The sequence below is a fragment of the Homo sapiens genome, chromosome 14 (genome assembly GCF_000001405.40).
Source record: "Homo sapiens chromosome 14, GRCh38.p14 Primary Assembly".
NCBI classification, from domain to species: domain Eukaryota; kingdom Metazoa; phylum Chordata; class Mammalia; order Primates; family Hominidae; genus Homo; species Homo sapiens.
Window position 1 is genome coordinate 63204044 of NC_000014.9, and position 16271 is coordinate 63220314.

Sequence of the window (16271 nt, forward strand, 5' to 3'; positions counted from 1 at the left end):
GCTTTTAACTAGTGACTCAGTGAAGAGTGATGTCATATGTTATCCCAGGACTGCCGGTGTGGTTCTCTCTGCTCGCTCTAACCATTCCCCCTGCTTCTGTGGCAGGCAGTAATCCCCGCTTTCCATCCTCTAGTCAGCTTCTTCCCAGCCAGCCACAAGCGAACAGGCTCGCAAGCAGCGGATGAAACAGGAAGTCTGACAGCTTGAGTCTGCAGTGGGACCCCTAGTGTTTTCCCACTCCATGTCCTGGCATCGTTCCCCAGAAGTACAAACACACACACACAGAGCTCCCATTGTTGCAGCCTTCCTCAGCCCACTGATCCTAATATGGAATTCAGCAGGAAACCCATGATTTCCTGACACTCGGCAAGCTGGAGGAAGCAAAGGGAAAAAAACTCCATTAAAAAGCCCAGCTTTCCTCCATGTTAGATGTGACTTGGAAAATGAGAAAGATTTAGCAAAATTCCACCGTATCTTTTGCCAGGCTAGAGACAGGGAGAGCAGAGTAAAACCCTCAGGCTGCTGAAATTTCTAGGCTGTTAGGAAGCCCCTCGAATTCTGTGAAAATGAGGGTTTCTTAACTCACACTGAGAGCGGAAAGGGGCAGACCCTTTTCATAACTCCCTCAAGTGTGTGTTACCTTTCTTTACCAGCATGGTAAGCAACAGGACATATCCCAGCCTCGGACATGTCTGTATGATCCAAGGTACCCAAAGTCAGACAGAGTAAACTCAAGCCTGGCACTGGCTTTCTGCCGCTTCATGTGCTTTGGAAAAAGCAGGAGAAGCAATAGCAGCAGGAGTCCCCAGCAGCTGGAGCCGCAAGAATGAACTGCAAAGAGGGAACTGACAGCAGCTGCGGCTGCAGGGGCAACGACGAGAAGAAGATGTTGAAGTGTGTGGTGGTGGGGGACGGTGCCGTGGGGAAAACCTGCCTGCTGATGAGCTACGCCAACGACGCCTTCCCAGAGGAATACGTGCCCACTGTGTTTGACCACTATGCAGGTAAGAAAAAGTGGGAAACTCTCTGCATCCAGACAAACGATGCAGGGGGCGAGACCCTAAGTTCAGAGGGGCCTGGCTCATTTCTAATGTCAGTATTGGGTGCGGGCCTGGCAGTAACCAGGGAGCTTAGCGTAGCATACAACCCAGGACTTGACTGTTGGTAGAACAATTTGTGCATCAATGTGTATGGTAACACTTTTCCCCCGTAAAACGAATGGCAACGCCAGGAAAATACTCTGACGTGCCCTCTAGATTTGGGGGCCAGAGCTTTTACTCAACATTTGCCTCAACATTCATTAAAGTTTTACTGTGAACATTTTTAAATGCAGTGGAATTGCATCACAATTCTTTTCTGCCAAAAAAAAAGAATCACCACTAGACACACAAATGGTGAAAGGATTGTTCTTGCCGCTCTTTGCGTATTCACCTCATGCCATTTATAAATGAAAATGCTAAGATTAATAAAACACTCATTTTTTCTATAACAATTGGTGCTATAATACTATAGTTTTGTTTTCCTGAGGTTGTAGATTGGGGGAGAGTTTTTAAAAGGTTTTAAATATCTATTAGGCAATCTGTATCTTAAAAGAAAAATATTTAATTAACATGTTTTTAAAAGGAAAAATACAAATAAAATCTGAATCACTTTAAAGTATGTCCTGAGAGGACAAAATGCACATAAAATATTTTAAAGCATGGCAGTTAAGACATTGTAGTCACAACTTACAGGGGACCTTTTGTTTTGCGAGTGTTCTAAAGTTTGTAGGTGTACTTGTCTGGGTGATAGCATTATCTAAATTCTTCCATTTTGATTCTTTCTTTTTCTGTTAATTTCCAAAACAAATTTTATTAAGTTTATCAAAAGCAAGTTAATGAAATTCTTCAAGCTTATGGTAGCCTACATTTTATAACTTTTTTATCATAGTGATCTTTATCAGAGATCTGAGACCTTGTGAATGGAAAATTTCTCCTCCTTCATTTTGGCTTTGGGTCAGGTTCAACAAAGGGGAAATGGCCCACAGGAAACCAGCATGAGTGTCTGCTTGGCAATGTGGCCATTTGAAATCCTCCTTCTATAGAAAGTAGCTTCTTTTCCAGAACTAAGCCATCACCTAAGTCACTGCTTCCCCCTACACTTACATGATGTATGAAAATGTTACACAGCAGACAGGGAGAGAACCACAGTGAATACAGTATCCATTTCCCAGCAGGTTTTTCTATATTTGTAGAAATTAAGAGCAAATTTTAATGCTGGCTCACTTAAGCCTTTCTGAAAATATAATGACTATGCCCAGAGAAGAACATTTTAATGAGAACAGAATAAAGAGAAGAACAGGTTGACTTTCATCTTGAGAAAAAAACTAATTATAAAATTTGGGGGTCTGCGCCTTGAGAAAGTTCCTCAGATTCTTCTCCTGAAACCATCTTAGCAAAAGTTATTTACTCTACACCTTCTTTCTGCCAAGAAAGGGAAAGTGGCTACCTTATTTCAAAAACTTTTAAATCAAAGGCGGAACTGAAAACCTAAAGGGAGAGGCTTCAAATGCCTATGAAACTTATGTATCCAAATCCCCATGTATTCAGGAAGCCAGTTACAGTATGGTATCAGGAAAAAAGAGAATCAAGTCAGCCTATAAAAAATCTACACTAGAAATCAAACAAAGGCTGAACCACAACTAGATTCCACTAGGCTCCAATAATTTTATGTTTTAATAATGTACATACTTACTATTGTTGAGCATTAAAGCATCTTAAAGATTTCGGCTAGTCTATTATTTTAGCTCCCAAGAAATCACAGCCACTATACTCAGAGCAATACTTTGCACATAGTAAGCATTCCTAAACATGGTTACTTTGATGTACACTTTGTACCTCTTTAAGTATATAATCGTCTCATGTGGTTTCAGTAAGGTTAAAAAGAGGATGGAGACATGAACCACATACATCTAGGACTGTAATGAAGTGGTCATTTCTTTTCTTTTCTTTTCTTTTTTTTTTTTTTGAGACAGAGTCTTGCTCTGTCGCCCAGGCTGGAGTGCAGTGGCATGATCTCGGCTCACTGCAACTTCCACCTCCTGGGTTCAAGCGATTCTCCTGCCTCAGCCTCCTGAGTAGCTGGGACTACAGGCGCACGCAACCATGCCTGGCTAATTTTTGTATTTTTAGTAGAGACAGGGTTTCACCATGCTGGCCAGGCTGGTCTTGAACTCCTTACCTCGTGTTCTGCCTGCCTCAGCCTCCTAACGTGCTGGGATTACAGGCGTGAGCCACCGCGCCCAACCAGAAGTGGTCATTTCTATAAGCAGAGGGATCTTCTCCACCACAAAGACTTGAGTTCCTTTTACCACCACTCTCCTGGTATATGACCTGGTTGAACATAAATCCTTAGGCAGTCACGTGAGAATCTACAATCAATTGTAAAAAACTAAATGCCCTCTTCTCCATTTGGATCCAGTATCTAATTCCTGGGTCCTACTGGCCTACTTTAAAATGACAACCTGCAGTTGAGTGCTGAGACTTTAGAAGCTATAATTTAAGTCATAGAGAGCCTATCCATTGAAGACTTTTTACTAATAACTGCCCAACCCAGAAAAGTAGAGATAAAATAGTAAGGATGGAAATACAACCTACTGTGCAAGATGGTGATCTCTGAAGTCAGACAGCCCGGTTCTAATACTGGCTCTGTCATTTACTTTGTGGCCTTGAGCAAGTTACTTAACCTCTCTGTGCCTCAGTTATCACAAATGAGAAGCAGGGACAATTAAGGTATTAGAATTGTGTGTGAGAACAAAGTGATTAACATATGTAAAGTTCTTAGAACAGTGCCTCATGTGTGATAAGAGTTAGGTACATGGTAGCTATTAAGAATACAGTCTCGATACTTGCATACAGCCAGGAAAAGGAATGAAAATGTAATTAAAAGATAAAGACTACAAGAAGGAAAAATGTAATTACAAGAGTATCCTTTAGAAGAGTAAGGTAGGATGGAGTGTATGTATTTTCTTCATAAAATAGTTACCATGTTTACTGATAATTAACAATATGTTTATATGAGGTAATAGTAATAGGATATTAAATTGGGAGGGGAAATATCAGTTTTGCATGAGTAAAAACTACGCAAAATTATTTTGAATGAGTTTATTTTTGCAGGAAAAATCAACGACCAGCTACAAAAAACAATTTTTAAAGTTCTACGAATTCTGATGTATCCCTACCTCCTACCTACCAAAATCCAAAAGCACATCTGCTCCATGTAGCTTTCCTTGACTCCCCAAGAATAATTCCCTGTTCCATCTCCAATCCAGTTTCACAAATTTGTTTACATCTCTAGGATCTTCCACTATTGTATAACAATTTATATGCTTCCTTATTTTCCCATCTCTGCTGTGCTGGGAACCCCTTAAGGGAAAGGAGCTGTGTCTTTCATGTCCTGTGAAATCCAACAGTCAATTCTAGGTCCTCCTCTTGATCTCTTGGAAGCTTTTTTTATGGTTCATTACCCTCCTTCCTAAAACATTTTCTTGGCTTGGTTTCTGGGATGCCACATTCTCCTGGTTTTGTTTCCACTCAACAGCAAATCTTTCTCCATCTCCAATGCCACCTCCCCTCTGTCTTCCCAACCACCAAATGTTCGGAAACACTGAAACCTCAGTGTTCAGTCCCTGGGTCCTCTTCTTTATTTACACTTAGGGTATGCTTGATTGTATCTAGTTTTGTAACTTTAAACATCATTCATATCCTGATAACGGCAAAACTTGTAGCTCCATCATCAAAACCCTCTGAGACTCAGATTCATATATCCGACTATTTGAATATCTAATAGGCATCTCATTCTTAACCTGTCCAAACTGAATTTTTTAACTTCCCCAAGCTACTCTTCCCCTAGGCTTCCCCATGTATGTACATGACCACTCTTTTCCACCCGGTTTCTGAAAACAAAAACTTTGGTATTGACTCCTTTCTTCCTTTGACAACATTCCCCTCCCTTTCCATTTAAACCATTAGTTATCATCCCTTCCTCCTACCAATCAGCTCAACATTCAAAATACATCCCAAACCTGATCACTTATCACCGTCTTCATTGCCTTCATTCTTGTCCAAGCCACCATCATCTCTCATCCAAACTACTATAATCAATTCCCAATTCCCTACTTCCAATCTTGCCCCCTATCATCAATTCTCCACATAGCTGGCAGAGGGACTGTCCCAAACCCCAACTTCTCCAATCACTTCCCTTAACACTCAGACCCAACCCTATATTATGTTGTATATGATGCACTCCATGACTCAGTCCCTGTTATCTCTCCAATCTCATCTCTTAACACTCTCCTCATCAGTGTTTTTGCTTTAGCCACACTCACCATCTTGTTATTCCTCAAGCACACCCAACTCCTTCCCTTGAAGAGTTTGTACTTGCTTTTTCCCCAGTCTCATACTATTCCGCTAGATCCCCCCTAGCTTCAATTGACCACATTATTTAATGCATGTGTGCTTGCACACACACACACTCTCTTTCTCTCTTTAACCTATCTTGCCACATCTTTCATTATAATAGTTAATACTACCTGATATTATATATGTATTTGCTATCTCCAGCTTCAAAAAACAAAGTCCTGCATATTATAGACACTCAACAGACTCTCAACTCAGATTATTCTCAACTGAATAAATGAATTACTATGTCTTTGCAATCTTAGTCCTTCCAACACTTAGATAGTTTCTGGTCCATTAAAACTTTGATGAATAAATGAACAAATTGCTTGTCCAATAGATATCTGTTTAGGAATGAACATACAAAAATGTTTATTATATTTATTATATTTCTGAACTATTTTATTCATATTTTAAATAATCATTTTATCCCCACTGTAACTGTAATATAGCATTGAATTTTCTTTTTTTTTCCTTTTTTTTCTTTTTTTTTTTTTCTTGAGACAGAGTCTCACTCTGTCACCAGGCTAGAGTGCAGTGGCACAATCTCAGCTCACTGTAACCTCTGCCTCCCAGATTCAAGCGATTCTCCTGCCTTAGCCTCCCAAGTAGCTGGGACAATAGGCACGTGCCACCACGCCCAGCTAATTTTTTTCTATTTTTAGTAAAGACGGGGTTTCACCATGTTGGCCAGGATGGTCTTGATCTCTTGACCTCGTGATCTGCCCACCTCAGCCTCCCAAAGTGCTGGGATTACAGGCGTGAACCACCACGCCCAGCCAGCATTGAATTTTCTTGACCTAAGTGGCCAGTGTCACATCTACTGAATAGCTTAACTATATAATGTGTAAATATCACTTGGGATTCCTTCATCTACATTATGTTCAAAAGCTGACATACATTTTGGGTGCCTCACTCAAACTCCTCTAGTTCTAATATACAGAGCATATTTCAGAGTAACCCTAAGTTCGGCTGACGGCTAGGTCTAAAGGGTAGGAGCAGTGGGATGAAGGTGGGAAAAGTCACTCTTGTTTATTACAAGTGTGCCTAAGAAACAACCCTGGGCTCTGCTCCTTACTCCCTTCCAGGGATGACTCAACGCGTCCCAACAACCTTTAGAGCTTTCACAGCTTACCATGGAAGAATTGCATTTCTTCCCCCATCCTATCTTTAGTTTTGAGTTTTGTAGCAGACCCCTCACTGGTAAAATATTCTTACCGATTAATGTTTCACTTGACATATAGCATAAGGATAAGAGCTCCATTTTGAATTTAGATTGTATGTTGAGTTAGATTGTGTACATGGTTTATATGTCGGGGTACATAGGTGTGTAAAATAAGCTCATTCCAGCTGAAACCTCTTTACGATGTTCACCATTTCCACCATCCTCTGTATTATTTTGTCTGTGAATCTTTCTTCTATCACCCACCCTCCTAGAGCTTCTTTGTTGAAAGCCATCAAATTTGGAAAACCACATGAAGCCACTATTTGCAAACCCAGGCTGCCTATGCAGGAAATTAACACAATTCATGGAAAGAAGAGAAATCCAGTTACTCTATCAGCTGATTGAGATGTAAAAGGAAGTTGTTTTTACAGAAAGCTGAAAGTCAGTTCTAACTTTTTCCACTTAGTTAAATGGTGATCAGCCCAAGGTAGACAGTCATAACCTTAATGGCCAGAGCAGGGAGTGGGAAACAGGTCCAATCCACAGGGGGAAAAAATAACATAATTATAATAAATAGTGAATAAAAATAAAGTCCCAGGTTTATAAAAGGTTGTGACATAGTTCTGCTCATTTGGGAAAATTTATTCATAAGTTTCTCTTTTGCTCTTTCTGAAGACACCCGAGAGTCTCTCATATCTGTAATCCCAGTGCTTTGGGAAGCCAACGCACAAGGATCCCTTGAGCCTAGAAGTTCAAAGTTATAATGAGCCATGATCATGCGACTGCACTCCAACCTGGGCAACAGAGCAAGACTTCATCTCTAAAAAAAAATTATGGATACATTAATGGTTGTTCTTATTTACTTATAGAGTATATGTGATGTTTTGATATAGGCATATAATGGGTAATGATTAAATCTGGGTAAATGGTATATCCATAACCTCAAACATCCATCATTACTTTGTGTTGGGAACATTCTAAATCTACTCTTCTAGTTCTTTTGAAATATACAATAAATTATTGTTAACTATAGTCACTCTGTTGTGCTACTGAATACTAGATTTTATTCCATCTAACTGTATTTTTGTACCTTGTACCAAAAAGCCAACCCTTCTTTATCATAAGGTGCTATCATTTTCTCAACTTTCCTGATGAACAATTCCCGGCACAAAGATACTACTCTATTTCCCTCAAGGCTAAACTGCTTGTAATGGGGTAAGTGGAGGCCATGGAATAGTAAACAATATGAGCAGTGTATAGCTAATAACAATAAAAGAGCCACTGTTAGTTAGGACCTGCTATTAACAAGTAAACCAAACATGTAAGGGATTAACTCAATGGCAAGGTATTCCTTGCTCATGTGATGCTCCTGAGCAGGTATTCAAGTCAGTAGGGCTGCTTTCTTCCATGTGGTCATTTAATGTCTCAGGCTTCTCACATCTGGTAACTCTGACATCCCCTAGGATTTCAGTTATCTGCATCCACACAGCTGAATGAGAAACAGCATGGAGAAACTTGAATGGAAAGTTTTATGGGCCAGGCCTGGAAGTGACAAACATCGTTTTCAATCACACTGCATAGGAGTTTATTTAGTCACAAGGCCATGCCTCACTGTAAAGGAGGCTGGAGGGAAAGCCCCCCTCTGTGCCCAAAAGAGGGAAGAATGGATTTTGATGGAAGCTAGCAATCTCTGCCTGCATCAGACTCTGTGGCCACCAAATATCCTTGCACATTTTTTCCCACATGTAAAAAAAACTCACTCTTTTCCCCAGAAGGACCACCTAGAGTTGCATTCTGGCACTGCAACTGTGTCAAAGACCAGCATCTGTTAAGTGATGCATGATTCTGTTCATTTGATCTAAACGTGATTCCTTGTGATCCAATAAAAGACAAATTATCTACCCATATACACAATTTGCCCCATGCGGTGGTGGGACAGGAATGGGATAATCAAAACATTCAAACTCCCTTTCAGAAAGGGAAGAATGGGAGACACATTGCAATAATAGAATTCTGATGACAATCCTGATAGTATCATCTATTAATGGAATCCAGAAACAATCATTTTCTAACTCTTTGAACCCATGAAAATCTGTGTTCTATCAATCTCAGCTTTAAAAACAACCAATTCATCTCTTCCCTTTCTTATAACACCTTGCTAAATATGTAAAATAACAATTAATACATACTAACATTCTGTCATTTTCCGGTCTCTTCATAGAGTGCTATGGACTCAGTGGGAAGTAGCTTTACCTTCCAGGTTTCACAAACAATAGTTTTACAAAATGTTTTGCCACAGTATAACACAGATCATCTTTCCAACCTGCTCTGTTTTGTCACCATCTGCCACCTAACAGCTAAGCCAACAGCACATGTATTTTTAGGTTTTTGTAATGATGGCACCATACTACTATGTAAGCTAAGATGCTGTAACAGATAGGCTAAAATATATAAGGGTTCAAACTATTAGAATCCTATTTTCTTACATAATTGCAACATGTATTTTAGATTTAGAGGGTACATGTGCAGGTTTGTTATCTGGGTATATTGCATGATGCTGACATTTAGGATATGAATGATCTTGTCACCCAGGTGGTGAGTACAATACCCAATAGTTAGTTTTTTGACCCTTGCCCTCTTCCTTCCCTTCCCAACTAGTGGTCCTCAGTATCTATTGTTGCCATCTTCCTGTCCATGTGTACCCAGTGTCTACCTCCCACTTATAAGTGAGAACTAACGTAGTATTTGGTTTTCTGTTTCTATGTTACTTTGCTTAGGATAATGGCCTCCAGCTGCATCCATGTTGCTGCAAAAGACATGATTTCATTCTTTTTAATGGCTACATAGGATTCTGTGTTGTATATGTACCACATTTTCTTTATCCAATCCACCATTGATGGGCACCTATGTTGATTCCATGTCTTTGCCATTGTGAATAATACTGCAATGAACATGTAAGTTCATGTGTCTTTTTGGCATAATGATATATTTTCTTTTGGATATATACCCAGTAATAGGATTGCTGGGTAGAATCCTGCTTTTGGTCATATAAGAGACCTTGGCAGGTCTTCAGGTTGGTGAGATAGTTCTGTTCCATGTAGTCATTCAGGGATCTACTTTTTTCCATCTTGGTACCCTGCCATCATCTAGGGCTTTGTGGTGCTCTGTATCTAGACACTAGAAGATGAAAGACTATGGAGGAGTAAGGGTAGGGAGTGGTGGTATGGGCCAGGCTGACAGGTGGCATGCATCACTTCTGTTCACATTTCACTGGAGAGAACTTAAACTGTAGGCCACACATTATCACAAGGAAGGCCAGCGATGTGCCCAAAGAAGGGACAAACAGACTTTAATAGACACTTAGTCATCTTCACCACAGTCATTAAGTTGAAATTGCTTATACCAAATACAATACGCACAGATAAACATATCAACTGCCTTAGCACCATGTTTAACTCCCTATTTATTCCACTACATATGACATACCTATATTTCCCAGACTTGCCTGGCCATAAGAAAAGCTTACTTGTTAAAAATGCAGATTCTTGGGTCCATGTAAGGGCTTCTACACCAGACCCATTTAGAGACAGAGCTGTGAATATGAATGTCAATAAGCTTCATAGAAATTTCTAATTAGGTAGAACTTGTGACACTGCTGTTTTAGAGTTCAAACCCATTTAGATATCACAAATGTATATAGTTTCAGCTAATGTGACTTAGTAGGTTCAGAAAACCCTTCTTTATGCTGTAATGGTGCCTATGAATCAAGCCAAAAGGAGCAATTCTATAGTCAACCATCCATCAGTAAAAAGCAATTTAAAAACAGATATGCATGTAAAATTTCTTGACTTGGGAGTTTCCAGCAGATCGTATCAAACAGAAAAGGCCTTTAGTGCCTCTTGGAAACGGCTAGCAAACTCCTAAGTGAGGAAACAGAGTGTTCTCAAAAAAGATCTGTACCTGCGGTGGGGGCATAGAGAGCTCCTGGAAGAAGGAGAATACAGAAGGCTAAGAACAGAAAGAATTGGGAGAGGGCTGGTGCAGGGTGGGAGGAGAAGCCTCAGGGAGTCAGACTAGAGGCAAGTGGGAATTCTGATGCGTAGCAGTAAGGAGACTAACCTTACTTACCCAAGGGCAGCCATGGGTAGCCAAGTACCAGCTGCTGGGGGAAAAGCCTTGAGCTTGGGCATAATCTGCAAAGCTACATATGGGTGAATCACTCCGCAAATGAAAAAAATAATCAACATGACTCTAAGACCTTCAGAGGGGTCACTGAGGGAAATTAGAGAGCACCTGCCCTCATGGGAAGAAACAAAGGAATCTTAAAAAAACAGGAAAGAGCCTGGGATCTTTGGGGTGGTTTTGATGCAGTTGTGTTTTGGAAGCTATGATTTGTTGTTCCACATTCATCCAGCCTTGTGATTATGAAATGAACAGTAAACATCTGTTTCCCCTCTGCAAATCCTTCTGTTCTTCTTCATGCTTTGACCTAACATTTGGGGAAAAGGAAAGAAAACAAAAACAGAAAACCTCTTACAGTACAAGTTCTCTGAGTCCAAAAAGACCTCTACTTAGGTCTTCCTGAAAGAAAGATGCATAAATCTGGGGAGAGACAGATCTTTTGTAACCAGAACTCAGCCACCCTTATCTGGACAGCCAGTTTACAATCACTCTTACTAAACGGGTACCAAGCCTTCCTTTAGTCTCTCCAGCTGTTTTAATACAAACTGGTAAATCAACTGAATCCAGATTGCCAACAAGAGAAAAACAACACTCTGCATGGCCTGAGCAGAATGCACCACAGTGAACAAAATGATTCCTGATCTTTTTGCAGCAAGTTACTTAATTAGCTAACATTAAGTAGCTGAGTATTTACTGTGTGTCCAGCCCTGTGTTGCCTTTGTTATCTTGCTTGAGCTTCACATTTTCTCTAGGTAGTAAGTATCCTCATTCCACAGACAAGAAAACCGAAGCTCAGAGAAGTGACATGTCCAACATCACTCAGCAAAGAAATGGCAGAATTGGGATTCAAATCTATCAGCTCCACAAAGGGGGCCCACTCTGATTAAGTTGGTCCCCCTTTCAAAACTTATTTACCTTCTCTGTCATTATAATTTTCTTTGTTTATTTAATTTTCCATGGCTTGTCTCCCCCTAGAATATATAATTCCTGAAGGCAGGGCCCTTTCTGTCTTGTTTACTTTTATGTCCTCCATACCTGGGAATGAGCCTACAACATAATAGCCACCCGGAACTGTTTGTTGAATGAATGAATGAATGACATCCAAGAGTCTCAGTCTTAACCAGTGCACTACACTGAAGTTAGCATCCTATGTGGACGCTCAGGATAATTTTCTATGTTGAAATTATTTTATCCTCCCACATGCTGAAAGGATATATTGTAAGCACCATGAGCATACATTAAAATAGATTATATTGACCTTATTTAAAACTTGTAAAAAAATTGTTTTCTCTGGAAAAGAAAACACCAAAAGGTTTTGCTTCCAGTCAAATTTTAAGCTTATGAGTTCTGAGTGATTTAGCTAGGCATAAAGTTGTTTTCCTAATTATATTGAGGATTTCTGTTCTACCTCTGTTATATTCTGATGCTATATCCTAGAGGCAAAGGGAAAAACTTAATTACTTGAAGTATGTGCTGCATACATTTTTTCAAATAATGAGATTAATTAAGAGGAAAAATAATCAGCAAGTAGTCTCCTTAATATATGCCAGGTACAAACCTCCTAAGAATTATGAAGAATGTTCATAAAATGTAACTGTTCATCTCTTAGAAAGTACACCAATTTTCAACTGGTATGCTTGCAAGAGATGCAATGACTATGTTCACATTCATTAATAATGGGGCCCTTTATACTTGTCAAAGTAAGAATTATTAGGAGGAAAACAAGGCTATGCTCTCTCTCCTCAGGAGTCCTCCTCTCTGCTCATATTGAATTAGCTTGCACTGGAAGCACTAAATGCTTTTTTTTCTAAACTAAAATGAATTTCAAATGACATTTGCAATAATTCAAGCTGGTAAATAAGAGCCTTAAGAGTTTTCCATAGTAAACACACTTTTAACCAAACTTTTCAAAAGAGACAAAGAGTTGATGCTACATCTTCAGTGTCAATATTAGGCATAAACTTTGCTGTAAAGATCCTACTCTATTCATTTCATTCATTTAGCCTCTTAATAAGTCTCCATATCATGTTCTTTCTTTTGGATAAACTAAATCTGTCAGGCTGGTTAGAGCCATTTTCTTTCCCTCAAGCTGAGCAAAGATGAAGAACACCTCATTATTATCCTCAGAATAATTACTCTTCATGTATTTCAAGACCTAGAAAATTCTCATCCCTGTCATCCTCAGATGATACACCCAGATCCTTCTCACTCCCCCATAGCTACTTGACCTATTCTTTCCCGCTTTTTTTTTCTTTTTTTCTTTTTTTTTTTATTATTATACTTTAAGTTTTAGGGTACATGTGCACATTGTGCAGGTTAGTTACATACGTATACATGTGCCATGCTGGTGCGCTGCACCCACTAACTCGTCATCTAGCATTAGGTATATCTCCCAATGCTATCCCTCCCCGCTCCCCCCACCCCACAACAGTCCCCAGAGTGTGATGTTCCCCTTCCTGTGTCCATGTGATCTCATTGTTCAATTCCCACCTATGAGTGAGAATATGTGGTGTTTGGTTTTTTGTTCTTGCGATAGTTTACTGAGAATGATGATTTCCAATTTCATCCATGTCCCTACAAAGGACATAAACCTGAGAAAAACAAGCAATGGGGAAAGGATTCCCTATTTAATAAATGGTGCTGGGAAAACTGGCTAGCCATATGTAGAAAGCTGAAACTGGATCTCTTCCTTACACCTTATACAAAAATCAATTCAAGATGGATTAAAGACTTAAACGTTAGACCTAAAACCATAAAAACCCTAGAAGAAAACCTAGGCATTACCATTCAGGACACAGGCATGGGCAAGGACTTCATGTCTAAAACACCAAAAGCAATGCCAACAAAAGACAAAATTGACAAATGGGATCTAATTAAACTAAAGAGCTTCTGCACAGCAAAAGAAACTACCATCAGAGTGAACAGGCAACCTACAAAATGGGAGAAAACTTTCCCGCTTTTTTAATGGACAGCTTTTCATGTATTCACTGCAAGTCAATCACAAATGACTTGCATTTCAAATCTACAGCAAGCACACAGTCACTCTTGCACTTTTTGGTGGGAATAGATATCTTGTCGACACGATTACTTGCAGGCCTAACAGGATGTAAACTCTAAATATTCTTTTAGATTACCTCTTTTTCTTTTTTCCCCTTTTTCTTTTTTCCCCTGGGTATGCAAGTTAATTTAGATCAAACTAATTAAATGTAGACAACTGAAGTCACCAATATGAGAGTACTACATTTCTCTTCTGGCATTTTAATAAATCTCCATTCAATTATCCCAGGTTTATCTACATTATAATATCATGTTAAGGCTTTCAAAAGACAGGATTTCTTTAGATCTAAGAATTAATATCATTGTGGGATCTTCATATAAGTTCAAGAGACCACATGGCACCTAATTAGAAATGCCTATGAAGCTTATTGACATTCATATTCACAGCTCTGTCTCTAAATGGGTCTGGTTTAGAAGCCCTTTTATGGACCCAAAAATCTGCATTTTTAACAAGTAAGCTTTTCTTATGACCAGGCAAGTTTGGGAAATATAAGTATGTCATGGCACTTGAAGAGCATACTTAATCTTGGCTCAACAGTTTTTGGTATTAAAGGATGCATTTTCGTCCCTGTGATTACCATAGATCACTGTGTTTTATAGTAATGAATATGGTATCATTTTAATAGATAGTCTAGTTTTACTAAGATTTAGTATGCAGTATATTCCACCTCATCTTAAGTTATTCTTTTGCTTCATTCCCGTCCTATCAGTTAACACATTAAAAGCTTCTTAAGGGTAGTGCACATCAGCCAAACATCCTATTTAGCAACCTCACCAACTGCTACAGATCCAATTCCAGTTTCACAAAAGATACTCTATACCAGGGTAATCTAGAACTCAGCAGATTTTCTGGACACAGGAAGAAATCTTAGGCTCTAAGCTGTAAACAATCCCTGAGACAACTACAGTTGACCACAAGTTATCTTGGAGCCTACTACTTCATCAACTAGCCTTAAGTATAGTCGTATACACAGCAGAAGAAATGGCTTTGTGTCATCATAAAAGTTTTTATATGTAGTTCCTCAAGTAATTTCCAAGACTCTAACTGATGTCCGAGTGCTGCACTTATGGTAGGAGAGGAAGAGTAGAAGAGGGTTGGGATATAGATAAATAGATATATCGCTTCAATGTCACAAGGAGCTAGTAAACTTACCATAGTTTTCCTTTGTGATATCCTTACTGCCTCAGCTTTCCTATCTTTCACCATCTCTTGAGCAATTTAGAAGCTTGTTCCCTGTGAAATGAGGAAGAGAATTATATTTTATTGGCAGACACTTAGCTCCAATTTTACAGCCAGTATCTAGTTATTCCCATAAACCCTGCAATTAACTCAGAGCCCAGAAAAGAGCACCACACAGAGCATTTTGAGGGTGAAAAGGGTCAGCCCACAGAAGGATCCATTTGTTCAGTAAAAAAAAGTTAGCATTTTTCGACTTCTTTGAAAATGGGGACCAGCAACCTTTAAACAAAGTATCTGATAATGGTGACTTCAGAGGATTTAATGCACTTTTTTTTTTCATTTCATGGTTGTTAAAATCAAGAATCTACTAATCAAGAAAAATTGTTTTTTCTTATTTAGTCTTTTTGCCTTCTACTTCTTTTTTAAAGGCTTCTAAACTTTCTTTGGTAAGTGCATTAAGAGTTCTCTTTTCTGGCCGGGCGTGGTGGCTCACACCTATAATCCCAGCACTTTGGGAGGCCAAGGCGGGAGGATCACAAGGTCAGGAGATCAAGACCATCCTGGTCAACATGGTGAAACCCTGTCTCTACTAAAAATACAAAACTTAGCTGTGTGTGCTGGCGCATGCCTGTGGTCCCAGCTACTTGGGAGGCTGAGGCACGAGAATCACTTGAACCCAGGAGGCGGAGGTTGCAGTGAGCCAAGATCGCACCACTGCACTCCAGCCTGGTGACAGAGCGAGATTGCATCTCAAAAAAAAAAAAAAAAGGTCTCTTTTCCTCCCCCTCTGTAGTATCTCTGTCTGGTGAATTTCTACATGAAGGGGAATGCGCATCTCTCTAAGAGAAAGGCAGCAGTACATTAACTTAACGAGCAGCTCCTGATAAGCCAAATTTCACCGTAGTACTATTTAAATTTCATCTTTTATTAAGAAATAAAAACACTTAAAATATTTTAATGGTATATATGAGAATCATAGAAATTCAGTTATGAAAATTATGCTGCGATGCAAGGGGAATGAAGGAGGACTGCATATTTCTTCTTCGGTGAATTAATCAGAGATTCTGAAGAAATAATGCAAGTCTATCCCCAAGCAATGTCTATCAAATCTACAGAAAGATAAAATTAAGTAATATTTTTCTCTGTGATTCTTCAAGGACAAGGTTTTTTTAATCCCCATTCTTTGTTCTGCTAGGATTCATTAGTATCCTCTCTTTGGTGCAGACAGTGATCCTCCTCTATTATTCCCCAA

At 39.3% G+C, this 16271-nt stretch overlaps 1 protein-coding gene across 3 annotated transcripts in view; it reads left to right on the forward strand.

Moving 5' to 3' along the window:
- The first annotated feature begins 399 nt into the window (after nucleotides 1-399).
- The window catches only part of RHOJ (ras homolog family member J), an 89066-nt gene continuing 73194 nt past the window's right edge, over nucleotides 400-16271 (forward strand). For all 3 annotated transcript variants that reach the window (NM_020663.5, XM_011536993.4, XM_047431613.1), the window contains exon 1: nucleotides 400-1004. In NM_020663.5, the coding sequence (NP_065714.1) occupies nucleotides 827-1004 (178 nt within the window). In that variant the 5' untranslated portion in view covers nucleotides 400-826. The remainder of the gene's footprint in view (nucleotides 1005-16271) is intronic.